The following is a 15,740-nucleotide window of genomic DNA, read 5'->3' on the forward strand; positions in this document are numbered from 1 at the left end:
CTGAAGTTACAGGTGGACCTGAATTTGGAGGGGATACTGTTAAACAGCCACAGGACTTAAGGAAGATTCTGCCCCCCAAGAGAGCTGTGTTCTGAGCTAATTTTCTTTCCCCCCACATCTAACTAGGAAGAGCATCTACCACTTGGCAATTCTCTGCCAGTTTCCAGGAACAGTGCTAAGCCGTTAGGTCTATCATCTCAGTTAATCCTCATGATAACCCCAAAAGGAGTCATCATCGCTCTTCTTTCATAGGGCAGAAAACCGAGGTTTAGAAAAGTTAAGCTACTAGTAAGTGGCAGAACAGGAACTTTAACCAGGCCTTCACCTCTGCAGCGGGCAGCCTCTCTTGGAATAGAAATAAAGGAGACTCCCTGAAGAAGACCTAAGGGCTGAAAAGATGTCACCAGCCGCAAGAGATCCAGCGCCTGCGAGGTCCCTGGGAGGATGTCTGTCCCAGTCTGCAGTGGGCTAGATCCTGGCAATGGCTGAGGAGGGCCGTGGCGCCCCAGCCTGTGAAACTGTACTTCCTGGCCTTGTGTTTGAGATGACGGCTGCCTGATATGGCTAATGAATTTTACAATCGAAAGCTAAAGTGAATTAGCTGTAGCAGATGTTTTTACTCTGGGAACTACCAGACCTTTCTGGCCATTCATTTATCCTTCAAGGGGATAAAACTTTCCCCCTCTATTATGTGTTGTCATTGGAGCATTGCACAACTTTATCAAACTTTTTATTCTGGAAACTGAATTAATTTTCTGCAAGGGGGTTTTTGTGTGGCTCTTTAATCACATTTACTGGGGAACATGTGTACGGAGGGCTGGAGAGCCGATTATGGCTTCCAGAAAGGCCACTTTCAAAAGGAGATTGCCCTCGCTCCCAAGGCCTCCATCTGAAGGTCCCTGGGTTTTGTGAAGAGGAAAAAATTAATTACTATTTTAATAACGAAGCCAGGCCTGCTGAAAATCCTCTTAGAGAGTAGCCGGGTGATGTAATGGCTCGCAGGGGGGATATTGAAAGCGCTGGCCACACAGCCTGCCCTGGCCTCCCTATTCATTCCCTGTAAGATGATACGGGCTGCCGGGTCACACATTAGGGAATTAAAAATATAATAATAACACTTGTTTCTTGGGAAGGGGAAAAGTTGTGATCCTGAGATAACAGGTTGGCAGAAATTCACTCTCAGGCCTCCATCTTTGCCAGACGCTCCAAGCGGCTGGACAGGAAATTGGGGCCCTTCTCCCTCAGCAGGTTGGCTCCACAAAGCCTCCAAATTCTGGCGGCCGCCGACAGATCACCCCCAGGACAGCAATGCATGAGCTCTCAGCAGTGCTGAGACATGGGGGACTCGGGGGTGCAATGGGTGGCTCGTAGGCTCGTGTCTTTCCAGGACCCAGGAGAGGACGGGACTTGCATTCCAATCTTTAATCCTCCACACACATCGTCTTTCTGGCTTCTAAAAGAAAAAATTGAGCTTCAGGTTTTTTCTTTCTTTTCATGTGCTTTTTGTTTTTGTTTTTGTTTTTCGGTTTTTTTGGTTTTTTGTTGTTGGTTTTTTTTTTTTTTTTCTTTGAGATGGAGTCTTGCTCTGTCGCCAGGCTGGAGTGCAGTAGCACAATCTTGGCTCGCTGCAACCTCCACCTCCTAAGTTCAAGCAATTCTCCCACCTCAGCCTCCCAAGTAGCTGGGACTATAGGCACCCGCCACCACACCCAGCTAATTTTTGTATTTTTAGCAGAGACGGGGTTTCACCATGTTGACCAGTATGGTCTCGATCTCTTGACCTTGTGATCCGCCCACCTCGGCCTCCCAAAGTGCTGGGATTACAGGCATGAGTGTTTTGTTTTATTTTTCCTGAAAAGTGAACATTTTGCACCAGAATTCTAACTTGGGGTGTTGTTATTGCTATTGTTAATTCTGCACTGTTTGTCTTCTTCACCAGGCAGTGGCCATGTCAGCAAAGTGAGGGCAGGATCTCAGCCAGCGAGTGCCGTGGAACTCAGATCCATGCGAGCTCCTGCCACACTCTCACCGATACAGATAAAAATGCTAATGCTTGGGAAGCAGGTGCAGAGACAGTAAGGCAGAGTCTGTTCTTCATGCGAGAGAGCCCACCACCAGCCGGCCTCTCTGTCCCATACCCGAGTTCCCCATCTTTTGCCTTTTTTCTCCTTACCACCTTTCCACTCGTCTCTTCTCCCCGCCTTTTCCTCTCCTGCCTCCATATTCAGAAAGCATGCCCCTGGTACCGGGTTCTGTCTGCACTCGGGTTGGAGGCAGTAAGTCCCCCGCCCTGAGAAACACACAGGACCAGGTACAGGACACGCGGAAGGTGGCACCCAGCCAAGGAGGGTTCTAATTTTAGATCCATTCTCCCTAAGGAAGAAAGAAACTGCCAAAGATCACTGCAGTGTGTGTGTGTTGGGGGGGGGGCGGGGTGTAAAACCTGCAAGGAAATGTACATCTGATCAAAGAATCCGGAAAGAATCCCAGGGCTGTAGGAAATGGCATATTGATGACTATCCTGTAAAATCACATGGAAGCAAACTGTATAAATAAATGAGTGAGCACCATCTCAAAATGTTTTTCAGAAAGTCAGAAATGGAGGGTTCACTGCAAAGAGAGACCTACGAATAACAGAGAAGGGCACCTGAAATGGCAACACATGCAGATGCTGATGTCATAAACATGCCGATTACTTTAAAGCAACAACGGATGTGCATGTGAAACATCCATAGCACCCCAGGCGAGGGTGGACGTCAGTCTGCACGGCTGTGGCCTTTGTCTGAGGGCAACTTGCATGGCTTTTCTGCTCTCCATTCCCGTCGGGAGCCCCAACCGGCATCGGGGTGCTCAAGGCTGTGGATGTGGATGAGTTGCACAATGGAACATGAGCACAGCAGCCTCGATTTTGGATGCAGTCACCAGTGGCAAACACAGGAGCAGGGAATGAAATCATTAACTTGTGCAAAGCAAAGGGGACCTGGATGGAGCTGAGACGCCTCCAGTGCCAGCTTGCAATCAGGAGGGGCTTCAGCTCCTTGTTAGGGACAGGACAGGGTGGGCAGTGAACTTACCTGTTAGTGGGAAAGTGTCAAGGGCAAGCCCACAGCTCTGATGATGGCCTCCTTACAAGCAAACAAAACAAACCACCCTCCCAGGCCTCAATCTCCACTCGTAACTTTAGAAGGATCCTGGTCTCCTTCCTGACCTGCATGGGTTAGAGCAGGTGTCCCCAGCACCCGGACCATGGACCAAAGCTGGGCCACACAGCAGGAGGAGAGCCATGGGCAGGCTAGTGAGCAAAGCTTCATCTGTATTTACAGCTGCTCCCCATCCCTCCATCACCCGCCGAGCTCCGTCTCCTGTCAGATCAGGGACAGCCTCGGATTCTAATAGGAGCGCGAGTCCTGCTGTGGCCTGCGCATGCGAGGGGTCCAGGCTGCGTGCTCCTCATGAGAATCTAATGCCTGATGACCTGTTACTGCCTCCCATTACCCCCAGATGGGACCGTCTAGGTGCAGGAAAACAATCTCAGGCCTCCCACTGGTTCTATGTTATGATGAGTTATAGAATTATTTTATTACGTATTAGAGTGTAATAATAGAAAGAGAGTGCACAATAAATGTAATGAGCTCACTTCATCCTCAAACCACCCCCACCCTCATCCATGGAAAAACTGTCTTCCATAAAACCAGTCCCTGGTGCCAAAAAGGTTGGGGGCCGCTGGGTTAGAGGCCACTCTCCCTCTTGGTGAGTGTCAGTGTGCACTTAGTTGTTTGAGAAATTTCTGATGAATCTCTTAACCACCCCATCAGATAATTCAACTAGATTTCACCCTGCAAGATAGGTGTCTAAACACAAATATACACATAGACAAAGCTTAGAAGGAATCCTACCATTCCCTTGTTCTTTATCTGCCATTTTAAAATTACTATTGCTGTGGTTCATGACTTTTTTAATTAAATAAAATTGAAAAGTGATGGCTATGTTTTATATTTACAGGAATAAAATTTGGAGACTGGCCACTGTCATTGTGCAACATCGGGCTCTGGCCCCCAGAGCCCCTTCTCTGTATGAAGTCTTGTGTGCTTTTTAAAGTAGAGGTCAGAACGCGCCCGCCCACTCCCTGGAGGCCTCATGCGGCTATTTCACCTACCCCGAGTGGTCGGCCCATTCCCAGAGAGCAGTTCACACAGGAAGCACCGTCTGCCCTGAGAACACTCACACGTGGGAAGGAAACCCCAAGGACATGGGGCATCTGGCGTCCTCAGTCCCTTCTCTGCTCACGGTCCTGCCTCACTGCTCCTTCTCCCGTCCCTTCCTGACGCCCTACTTCCTGCAAAGTGAAAACTGTCAGAGCCTCATTCGCAAGGCAGCTCGCCTTGCGAAGGCGGGAGTGGGGGTGTTGCGGGGTTGGGAGGGAAGGGGGTGGAAATGGACAAACAGAGAGAGGATTTTTAATGCAGTGGTTTCTACCGTTGGGATGGTAAAGCCATCCAAACAACAAAATACCCCCTAATTCCCACCCATGGAACCAGCACATTGCTCTGTTTCCCATGGCAGTCAATGGGGCGCACCACCCCCCGTCCGGACACACTCCCCTCCTCATGTGCCTACTGCTCCGACCGGGGGTGTGGGCATTGCATCCTCTCCTGAAGATGGGTTTCTGAAGACGGGCGCCAGAGCAGATGACCTGGAGGAAAGGCCAGGCAGCAGCAGGAGTGAGGCCCACGTCACCACAGGGCACTCAGTGGACGCTGGGCCTGGACGCCCAGCCCAGCTAGCCAGGAGCATAGCCCCGAAGAAGAAGAAGGGAGGGCAGCCAGCTTGCCTGTCTGGCAAACTCGGTCGCTGCCCAGTGGCTTGACAAGTCACCACGCTGTTCAGATTTTGGAAGCTCGTTCATCTCTAGGTGAGGAATAGAATACACTCAATCCAGTCTACTGACAGCAAGTGCCCAGGGCACCCCCCTCCAGGGGCCCCGAACCACCACAGCAAGCCTTTGTGGAGATGGCGAGGTGGCCCCCACATCAGACAGATGGGGTCTCAGACTGGGAGGGCGAGGCAGGCACAGTTTCCCCACTGGTGGACGACGCATCCATCACTCCACAGAATCAGAGCCCAAAGCCCGGCTCCGGGGCCTCTGAGCAGGGTTCACCCACCACGGCCACAGCCAAACCCACCTACCACTGACTTTTGTACAAGCCACGAGCGAAGAATGACTTTTACATTTTTAAACACATGGAAATATGAAGGGAAGAAGAATATGTCATGATGTGGAAATCTCACCAGTTCAGAATCCAGCTGCACAGATGACGTCCTGTTGGCTGCATCGCACGTAGCGGCTGTCTCTGCTCTGAGGCAGAGGTGAGTGGCTGTAGCCGAGGCCACAGGTCCGGCCATGGCCACATCCAAGCTCTTCAGCCCTTTACAGAAAGAGGGTGCTGACCCTTTGCAGGCCCACCACACTCTGGGACCTCAAATACACTCAGATTTTGGAATGGACTACCCTGGATGTCTCTCATATCCATAGTTTGAAACCCCCAAAACTGAACTCTAAAGCAAAACCTGCCGCAATTAACCAGGCAGGAAGCTGGGTAGGTAGCTCTTCTGGTTGGACACACAAACTCTTCTCCTCTCCTTCAACTCCTGTTCTTCCTTCAAAGCCAAGAACCACTTGACTCTGGAATGGGAAGAAAACGTATCTGACTAACAAATGGGGAAGTTTTATTAGCTGTTTATGACCTGTATTTTTTTCTGAATTGCTAGAGTTAGCATAAAAGAGACACGTCACAGTGATGAGAGATCCCCCAGTCAGGATTATGAATTCCGTGACAGCACATTTGTCTTGATATCAATATGTTTTTTCATGAATTGCAAAGAAAAGCAGGTGTATAAAAATAAAACTCGCATAAAATATAAATTATCATCGTGCAAGTTAATTCTATACCCTCAGGATACAATAGCTCACGCACTTTATATTTGCAAAAATGTTTGTGAGTTACTTTTTGAGACTTATTTATTTATTTCTATTTATTTAACATTGTTTCCTCACTGAGAGGATTCTGAGATCGACACCTTATTTCCATAACCGTCCCTGGGGGCCAACAGTCTTAAAGGTGTCTGTATTAACCTCGATATCCCAGGTAATATAATACAGAGTGTGACATCCCAAGTGCGCAGACACTGCAGGCAAGCCTTCTCCTTTGAGGGGCTGGTAAAGGAAAAATGGAAGCAAATGCTCTTCCCTATCAGAGCTGGCACCTCCAATTCCGCGCCTCTGCTCGTTACGGTGATCAATGTCTAGGAGGTTTTAGCGCCCACCTGCTATGGGCACTGTTTCTGTTGTTACATCAAAAATGTCCTAATTATTTTAGTGGATCCATTTCTGTGTTGGAGATCATTTTCCATTTTGTCTCTATGGAAAACAGAAGAGTTGGGAAGCCCTTGGTGAACACATTCCTGTCTGTTTTACCCCGCAAAGGATTGAAGACTCTTCAGGAACTCTCCAGGGAATCATCCCCTAATATAGGGTCGCCACCAAACATGGTTCTGGCCAGAGCGTCTCAGCTGCCAGCACTCACCGGAGGGCCCGGTTAACAGGCAGCCTTCAGCTGGGTGGGTCTGGGTGGGCCTGAGCACGTGGGGCAGGTCTCAGGTGATGGTGATGGGGAGGCCGGGGCCCAGGGACCAGCAGGGACCCAGCTGCTGACAGCCATTCAGGCGTGGTCCTGAGATTCAACTCATCCCTCCGCCCCCACCATCCACCCCAGAGGCTCGAGGCTCTGACGCTGCTGCCCCGGGGCCCAGCTCTGCTTCCTCCCCAGTGCCAAGATTCTGCCGAAATGCTGCCTTCTGGACTTCCCCAGCATCCACACCCAGAAGGAAGGGCTTGTTTCTCCCGATCTCAGCCCTGCCACTTCCCACACTGTGAATGTCCCCTGTGTCCACCATCACCTCTCTGCCACCTTGCCCCACTGTCCCACCTAGGAGGGACTGGAGGAAGAAGCCATGACTAGACGTTATATTCTGGTCTGGGGAGCTTCTCAGTGGACGTCCGGCTGAGTGAATGAACATGGCTCCAGAACTGTCGCAGAGGAAGCTGCCTCCACATCCCGCCTCCCGCTTTGCAGCGAATTCTCACAAGTCTTACGTCCCACCTTTTGCAAAATATCCACGCCAAGCCTGGATGATTTTTATAGCTGAGGCCATAGCAAGCACTCAGGATCCTTACCAATCCGTCCTCCTCTCTCTGGACACAGAAAAGCTGTGTTAGACGGGAGCTGCGTGCCCGGTTTCTTGCCCACGGGCGGTGGTGGCAGAGTTCACACCTGTTACACCGGAGCTGACTGTAACTGTGGTGCACGACCTGCAGGCTGTCTTTGCTCATCAGTCCCCTAAGGGGAAGGACCCGGGGCCCAGCGTTAAAGATGGTACCCCACCCCGTGCCCCAGATCAGAGGCGCCAGGATCCTGGAGCCCCTGGGTGTCAGGGAAGACCCGGAACGCCGAATCCTGCTGGGAAGAAAGAAGCTAACCCAGCGAACTGAGTCACTGGGGTGTGGACGACGCCCAGGGCGGCCGCTGGCCTCCTCTACCCCAGCCCCAGCCGAGTGAGACAAATGCTTCACACCACACTCCCTGGACTTAGAAACCACTTCACGCGTTTTCCAAAAACCTGACTTACGTCCTCCCTCTGCTTCTATTTTCGGACGGAGAGACAGTGAAGGTGCACTCTGTCACCTCCTTCTAAGCAAACCCGCCATCCAGTTTATCTATCTTTTTTACCAAAGAGGCACAGTTGCAAGATAATATGACTGATCTTTTCATTAACTGAATTTTCTCTGAATATTATGCCTTGGGTATTTGGCACAGAAATAAGAATACTTGGGAACGCTCGTCTGAATGTCTGGAGCTTAGGTTTTCTGCCCCGTCGGTAGCATCAACCACACCCTCCCTGTGCTGTGTGGAATTATTGTACTGGAATAGATTCCTTAGCAACAAAATATATTTTGTGGATCCTGTAACATCTCGCTGTGCTTTGATGCTTGATAAATATTTAATTGCCCATACAATATCAGTTCTGCTAGGATATACTGTTCATTAGTCTTTTTATTGAGAGTGCATTTCTTAATTATATTGATCACTCATATCATGTGAACGATAATTGGTTCTTTCTTCTGACCATATATTTTTAATGAAGTGCTTTTGACCTCTTTGTAATGGCAAAGTATGTCTTCCAGATAAAGTATATCACTTACAGTGCAATGCCTGCTCCCCTCCTTTGAATATTGTAGATCCAGACTTGAGTTTGAGGGATTATTCGTTTATGTATCTATCAGGAAACCTGTCTTGGCAATCGGGGGCCATGCTGTTCGTGACAACAGAATGAAGTAGTAACAGCTATCGTGATTTTCAGATAAGCTCTGAGCGCACACCCACACAGCTCTCAAACCCTCACCATTGGGCCCTACGGCTTTGCTCTTCATGGCTACATGGCGGCTTCTCCAGTCCAAGGTCAGATGAAAAGGCACAAGCTGCAGGCTCAAGTGTTGTGGGGCAGTTTCAGAGTCTGCTCCCGAAGACAGGACTTCACCTGTCACAGTTTCCTGTAACCGGCATCACGAGGGGGACCGGGGTCAGACCACCTCCTCCAGAGCCCTCCCCTCGGGCTCCCCATTCAGGCTCCTCCCTCCGGAACCCCCTCTGCTCCCCCACTCAGGCTCCCCACCTTGCCTTGGGGCCCTGCCGCCAGCCCCTGCCTGAGGTTGTGCTGTCCACCTAGGTCTAGATCAGCTGAACTGAATGGCAAGGACACCTGTCCCCCCGCCACCTGTCCCTCCCCACCACACACAGGTGCACCCGGGCTCTGACTGCCCAGCCATGGAGGCCTCACCAGCCCCCAAAGTCCTGAGAGAGCCAACATTGCTTTCACAGGGCCCCAGGCCCTGGGAGCTGTCACCACCTCGCCCCAGAGCCATGTTGCTGGCCAACCACTCGGAAACATGCCTGGCTCAGACCAGAACCCCCAGAGGGCTGCGCCTCTCTCTGTCACTGCAGCCAATGCCAGCCTACCAGTCGCCAAATGTGTCCCCCCAAAATTCGTGTTGAAGTCCTAACCTCCAAGGTGACAGTGTCAGGAGGCAGGGCTTTGGGAGGTGATAAGGTTGTGAGGGTGGCACCCTCAAGGAAGGGATGCGTCCCCCTGGAAGGAGGGCCTGTCATTCACCACCACACAGGGCACAGCAAGAAGGAGCTTCCAAGAGCCAGAAATCGGGCCCTCACCTGACACCTGACCTGCCAGGGCCCTGACCTGGATGCTCAGCCTCCAGAACAGTGAGAACTAAATGTCTCTGTCCCTCAGCCACCCAGCATGTGGCATTCTCTGTCCCTCAGCCACCCAGCATGTGGCATTCTCTGTGGCATTCTCTGTCCCTCAGCCACCCAGCATGTGGTATTCTCTGTCCCTCAGCCACCCAGCATGTGGCATTCTCTGTCCCTCAGCCACCCAGCATGTGGCATTCTCTGTCCCTCAGCCACCCAGCATGTGGCATTTTGTCATAGCAGCAGGCGTCGACTGGGACACAGGGCCCCTCAGGACCGCCGCTGCCTGTGGGCTGGCACCACGGACTCTCCGTGCCCAGGGCAGACTCGGCCTGGCCGGGTGGGGCCCGACCTTCCTCCTTTCCTGCCCTCTTTGCTTCCCTTTCCATCCCTGGCCTGAGGACACGCCCTCAGAACATCCTGAAAGCAGGTTCTCTGCTTCCACAAATGCAACCTAAGAGTCAGGGACCCATGAGTCCTGGGAACAGATGCCAGGATCGGCCCGGGCTGGGTAGAATAGCTACAGGCCCTGGCACCTCTGGGGCAGGAAGGCTACTCAGGCCTCCTGCTGGGTTTGACTGATTTGGGGTGAACGGGTGCAGGATTTCCAGAATTTCAGAAGTATTGAGGGGGGTAAATAGTAAACATGGAGGCTGCAGAGTTGGGGGCTGTGACCAGAAGCCACCCGTCCACTGAGGACACAAGGAGACAGATCCTCTGGTCAGAGACCCCAGCCCCCAGCTGCAGGAAAAGAATGCCTCCCCAGGCAGGTGCAGGTCAGACAGGAGGGGGTAAACAGGGGGAGGCCGGCGATAGGCATGAGCCAATCTGGCAAAGTGCTTATGAGAGACGCCTTGTGACACCGACAGGGCCAGTCACAGGCCCAGCCCAGGCCTCACCTGCCAAGGCTGAGCAGCCACCACCACGACAGGAGGCCCGACCCACCAGCAACAGAGACCTGCTCCAAGAGACCCCAGCTCCAAGCCCCCAGCTCCGAGCCGCTGGCACAGAGCCATCTTGGGAGGCGTCCGACCAGCCACTTCTTAGCAAGTCTCTTCTAGGGGACCCGTCCCACCCCAGAAGGGCACCATTCTGTCCCAGCCAGCACTGATGTGGACTCTGGGTACAGTTTCAGCCATCGCCACTGCCTGAGTGGCTGATCATCGCCCCAATGTCCACAAAGGAGCTGCCAGGGTGGGCTCCTGGCCTGGGACACCCTGTCCCACCACTGGCCCCTCCAGGGTGCCGAGCTGACAGGCATGGAGTGGGCTCTGGAAGATGTAGTGTGGGCCGTGGGAGGTGACACAGAGACGGGCACTTTCTGGAAAGGCAGAGAGAGACCTGGCTGGAAGGATTCATACAGATGGCTTGATTCTGTTGGATGCTAATTTCTTAACAGAAAACTTCCCACCTCTGCAGAGCACTCTTAGAACAGAAGCTTACATAGCAGGGACCTCGTTTCCTCGGCTGATTATCCTCAGGTTTACAGACAGCAGTGGAAGCGAGAGGTCAGGAAACACCGAAGCAGATGCCGTCCTGACCACAAGCTTTCCAAGAGAGTAGACGGGAGCTGGGGCATCCGGGCCTCACTCCTGGGGCACCCAGTTTACATTTTGAGTATGTCCCTTTCTGACAGCCGCCTGCCTTCAAACCACTTCCGATGGCTGTTGGGTGGACACCTGCGCAAACCACACCAAACTGGTCCATCATGGAAAGGCTGATGTGGAAAGGGGAAACTGCTTTTTCTCTTTTCCAGATGTCTAAATGAGACTGATATTCCCTCTGAATACACGGCCTGTTCCCAGATGACAGGCCCTGGGAACGCCAGAAACAATGCGGAGGAGACAGTGACACGTCCCGTCTCCAGCGGAACACACCGAAGGCACTGGCCTTACCGCATCACCCCAGAGTTACCAGGATGAGGATGCTGCAGACTCCACACAGAGCCAGCACAGTGGGCCATGTCAGCGCCATGGCAGGGTTTTGGGAATTGCAGGCCAAGTTGGAGAATGGTTCTTTTCAAGACAACAGCAACAGTAAGAGAAATGGAAAGTTACCACTTGACTGCCACTGTGCGGAATGCTTTGTGCAAAGCATCCTACTTAATCTGCACCATGATATAAGCCAGAAATTTGAATAAAGAGAATAATTGTTGTCAGCGCCAGAGTCCAGGTAGAGCCTGGGAGCCCCTCAGGCAGGGAAGGCTCCATCTTCTTAGGAAAACAGACCAGGAACAAAACAGCAGGTTTGAGACTCTGCACCTGCTACAAAGGCGGCTGGTGGCGTTCAGGTGGCAAACCAAACACTCACTCACTCAGGTGGGCCTGAGAAGGAAGACCACCAACACCATAACTCCTGTGGCAACGCAGCCACACAACAGCGATTTAATTTGCTCTTCAGAAGGATTGTATGAACAGTGATTTTGTCTGCGCAGCTCGCTTACAAAACAAAACTTAGATAGCAGGGAAGCATGTGCATGTGAAAGATGCCCTCTGAGACCCTGATCATCACCACCTAGTACATCTTATGTGACTGCAGAACACAGTCTTAGAAGCAGGGGGATGAGGCAGGGCTGTCAGCGAGCAGTTATGACTTGTGGAGAGAAACTGCTTCTTAAGCACTGTGCGGGCTAGGGCAGCATTTGCTCAGAGCTCACTCCCCTAGGCTGGCACAGAGTAGGAGCCTCCTACCAGAGTGTGAAAGCAAAACAAATCCAAACGTCGATGAAGGCAGACAGGGATGAGGCAGCCATCTTTGTTTAAAACAGAGCTATCCAGATGCCACTTTAGACTTTTTTATCTGAGGCACATCAAAGCAAGGAGCTCATTTCTTTCTCCAGTAAGCATTATCTGTTGTTTACTAACTGCAAGGCCCAGAGCTCCGCCTTAGAGATGGAGTGGAGAGAAAATTCAGACCCAGCTCCTCTCCTCTCTGCTCATGATCCTGTGTTTGGCTACCTTAGTATTCTGCTTTTTTTTCACCTAGGTAAACATGGAGAAAGTTTTTAAATGCCAGAGAGAACTGAAAGAAGGACCTCAAAAATACGAGTGCAAATGTTCCCTGAAAATGTATGGATACTCAAACAGATGCAATTTTAAGTATCTGGATTCTCTACTAGCTATGTTACATACTATTCATGGGAAAATAAAACAAAAAATACCTAGGAGTGGAAATATGGTCTAACCTCTCCATCATGATTGATTAAACATTAGAGAGAAGAAAGCGTAACTTTACCGGTATACAGATTGCGCCACTAAGACTATAACGCCTGACTGAGAAAGAGAGGAATTAGATCAATCACTTAGACTATTTTTAAGAAAATGAGAATTGACTATATGATTTTTAAACAGTATTTGTCTGAACAACCCAAATCAACAAAGTAAGTGTTTCCCCTCATCCCCTGCTCCGTCTGTTGGCTCCAGTTCTAAACACCCTCACACACAAGGGACATCACGAGGCTTCCTTATTTGGAATAAGTTGTCCTGAACTTATCACTTTATTATCCCTTTTAATTGTTTATTTAGCTTTAAAATAATAACTCACATATTTCAAAGTTCAAAAGGCAGGAAAAGGCACCCAGTGAAGTTTCCCTCACACCTGCCCACTGGCCTCCCCTGCTTCCCCTCCCAGAGGCACACAGTGGTAAGAGCGTCTTGTGCACGTCTAGAAACATTCTAGGAATATACCTACAAATGTGCACTGGGTCCTCTTTTCATTTTCGGTAGGTTTTAGGTCATGGTAGCTGCATTGTTCTGAACCTTGCTTTCCGCTTTTGTTGTTTGTTCGTTTTGCTAGGGAGCATTTAAGGTATCATCACATGGCAATTATAAAGACCCTTCTCATTGTGGTAAAGATGTGCATTGTTCCTCGTATAGATCCCTAAATAACTAAATAAGAATGAGAGACCGCTGTGTGGTACCAAAGAGTATTTATGGGGTCTCCTATGGAGAGGCATTAACTTCTTTCCTACCTGTTGCTTTTACAAAAAAAAAAAAGTGTCACTTCACTTACAAGTAAGTATGCCTACAGGATAAATTTCTTAAGGCAAGATTACTGTGCCAAAGAGTACATGTGTAATTTTTATACTTCTTGCCAAGAGACCTCCTTAGAGGTTTTACCAAGTGACACTCCCATCACTGTTTCAAAGACCTGTTATCTCTTCAGCAGTGTGTTACCAAGCTTTTAGACCTTTGCCCATCCCGTGAGTACAAAGTGACAGCTCAGTGTTCCTTTCATGTGACTTTCTCTTACTCAGAATGAAACTGAGTATCTTTTCATGTGTCTGAGAGCCATTTGTATTTTTTCAGGCAGTTTATGTCTTATGCCCTTCATTCCATTACATTGTAGATCTTTTCTTCTTGATTTGTAAGGGCTCTTTATATATAAGGGAATTAGCTGTTTTCCTGTTATGTGAATTATAAATATTTTTGCCAGTTTGTTATTTGTCTTTTGGCTAAGAAATGAAGAAAAGTTATATAGCTGAATTTACCAACTAGTTTCTAAATGTTTATGTCATAATTTAAGATCTTTCTATATCTAAGAATATTTTTTAATACCCCCGATAGTTTCTTCTAGTACTTTCATGGTCCATTTTTTACACTTAATTTTTTTGTCCATCTGGAATTTATTTTGGTATAAAGTATGAATTATGGATCAATATTGTTTTCTAGTTCCATACTTAACTGGCTCCAAAATTGGCCCAATCAATCTCAGTGTTATATGTATTATATTTAACCTTATGAGAAGCAGATATCATCACTCCCCTTGCACATGAAGAACTGTGGCTGAGAGGAACTAAGACTCATTCCAGGCCAGGTATCGTGGCTCACGCCTATAATCCCAACACTTTGGGAGACCAAGGTAGGAGAATCGCTTGAGCCCAGGAGCCTGGCAACATAGCGAGACCCTATATCTACAAAAAAATTAAAAATTAGTGGCGTATGCCTGTGGTCCCATCTACTCAGGAGGCTGAGGATGGCTTAATCCCGGGAAGTTGAGGCTGCGGTGAGCCAAGGTTGCACCAATGCACTCCAGAACAAAAGAATCATTCCAAAGCCAGAGAGCCAGGACTTGATTCATTGAATCTGAGCCATGCTTTCTGCTTCACTGGTCACCCTCATCCTGTGCAGGTTTAACTTCCTCACCACAAGCTTTAAGCATATGCATGCAGCATTTAATGCATATCCAAAAGGACAGATCAAGAAATCAGTGGTAGACAGATAGATGATAGATAGATAGATAGATAGATAGATGATAGATAGATAGATAGATAGATAGATAGATAGATAGATAGATAGAGATAGGCAGACAGACAAGGGTGATGGATCAGTTGATCAGTAGACAGAGGAAAGAGGTCTTGAAAGACACATGGAGCAAACAGCTTCAAGGAAGACAGGTCCGTTTGAACCAGGAGTGGGAAATAGGCACACTCCGGAGCCAGGCACCAACCACTGAACTTCCTCGGGACCCATATGGGGCATGTCAACACCCCAGCATGTCCCAGCATGGAGCCCACAGGGAGAACTCCCATACAGAGCCCCCAAGGAGCCTTCACTGACACTGGGCGACCGGACCAGCAAGCACTGTCCGCACAACCAAACTGCCCGCAACAGTCACTGTGGATACTTAAGAACAAGGCTGCTGGTCCCTGCCCTGGGTCTCCTGAATTGACACCAGGATGGGGCTGGGAACACACATTCTTAACTTGTTTCTCATATATCCCTATGATCCTAACAACAGAGAACCTCTGAGCTAGGAGCTACAAAATAAACCTGGAATATTTCCTTTCCGCAAGAACCTTTAAGGAGAATGTGAGGCTTCGTTTTTCTTTCAGGGATATCTCATACTTCCCTGGATCAGAATTTTCAAGCTAATTTCCTTCTTTATAAAAATAAATGACTTGGAGCTAACTTCTTTCTAAAGTCCCTCCTGTACCTCACCTTATAGATAACCACCACCATTAAAGTATTGTGATCATATGATGTAGCCATTCCTGTTTAAAGAAGTTGGCTAAGGTATCCCAAAAGTTGACCAACACTTTGTACCATCCGTCCAGTGCCCATTTTGGAATTTTTGAAATTGGTAAGTTACTTTAAATCAGAATCTTAAATGAAGATAATTACTAAGTATCCTGGCTGTTGGATGAACATTGGTACAAATTATCTAAAGATTATAATAAGCATCTTTCTCATTAGAGCTTTTTTTTTTCTCAAAATTATAGCTCCATGAAAAGTCCAGTCAGAGTACTCTTTGAAATTTCTCAAGTTCTTACTAAAAAATTCTACAGGTCCTCAGCCGTGGTGGAAGCGGAGCAGCACATTAGTGTAACATCGTAAGGAAGATGGCTGCGGCCCACTAACCATAAGCACCTGCACCCTGCAGGGCCACCTGCTCTGGGCGTCATGCTCCATGAGACAC

At 49.3% G+C, this 15,740-nt stretch overlaps 1 annotated feature.

Annotated features, from left to right (window-relative positions):
* Positions 8,303-9,218: an enhancer, noted in NCBI's record as "H3K4me1 hESC enhancer chr18:76447079-76447994 (GRCh37/hg19 assembly coordinates)". NCBI's record gives its function as "activates a minimal SCP1, AML or CMV promoter by ChIP-STARR-seq in primed H9 embryonic stem cells {active_cell/tissue: H9 hESC(primed)}" and the evidence as "EXISTENCE:reporter gene assay evidence [ECO:0000049][PMID:30033119]".

This window comes from Homo sapiens, chromosome 18 (genome assembly GCF_000001405.40).
Source record: "Homo sapiens chromosome 18, GRCh38.p14 Primary Assembly".
Lineage (NCBI taxonomy): Eukaryota > Metazoa > Chordata > Mammalia > Primates > Hominidae > Homo > Homo sapiens.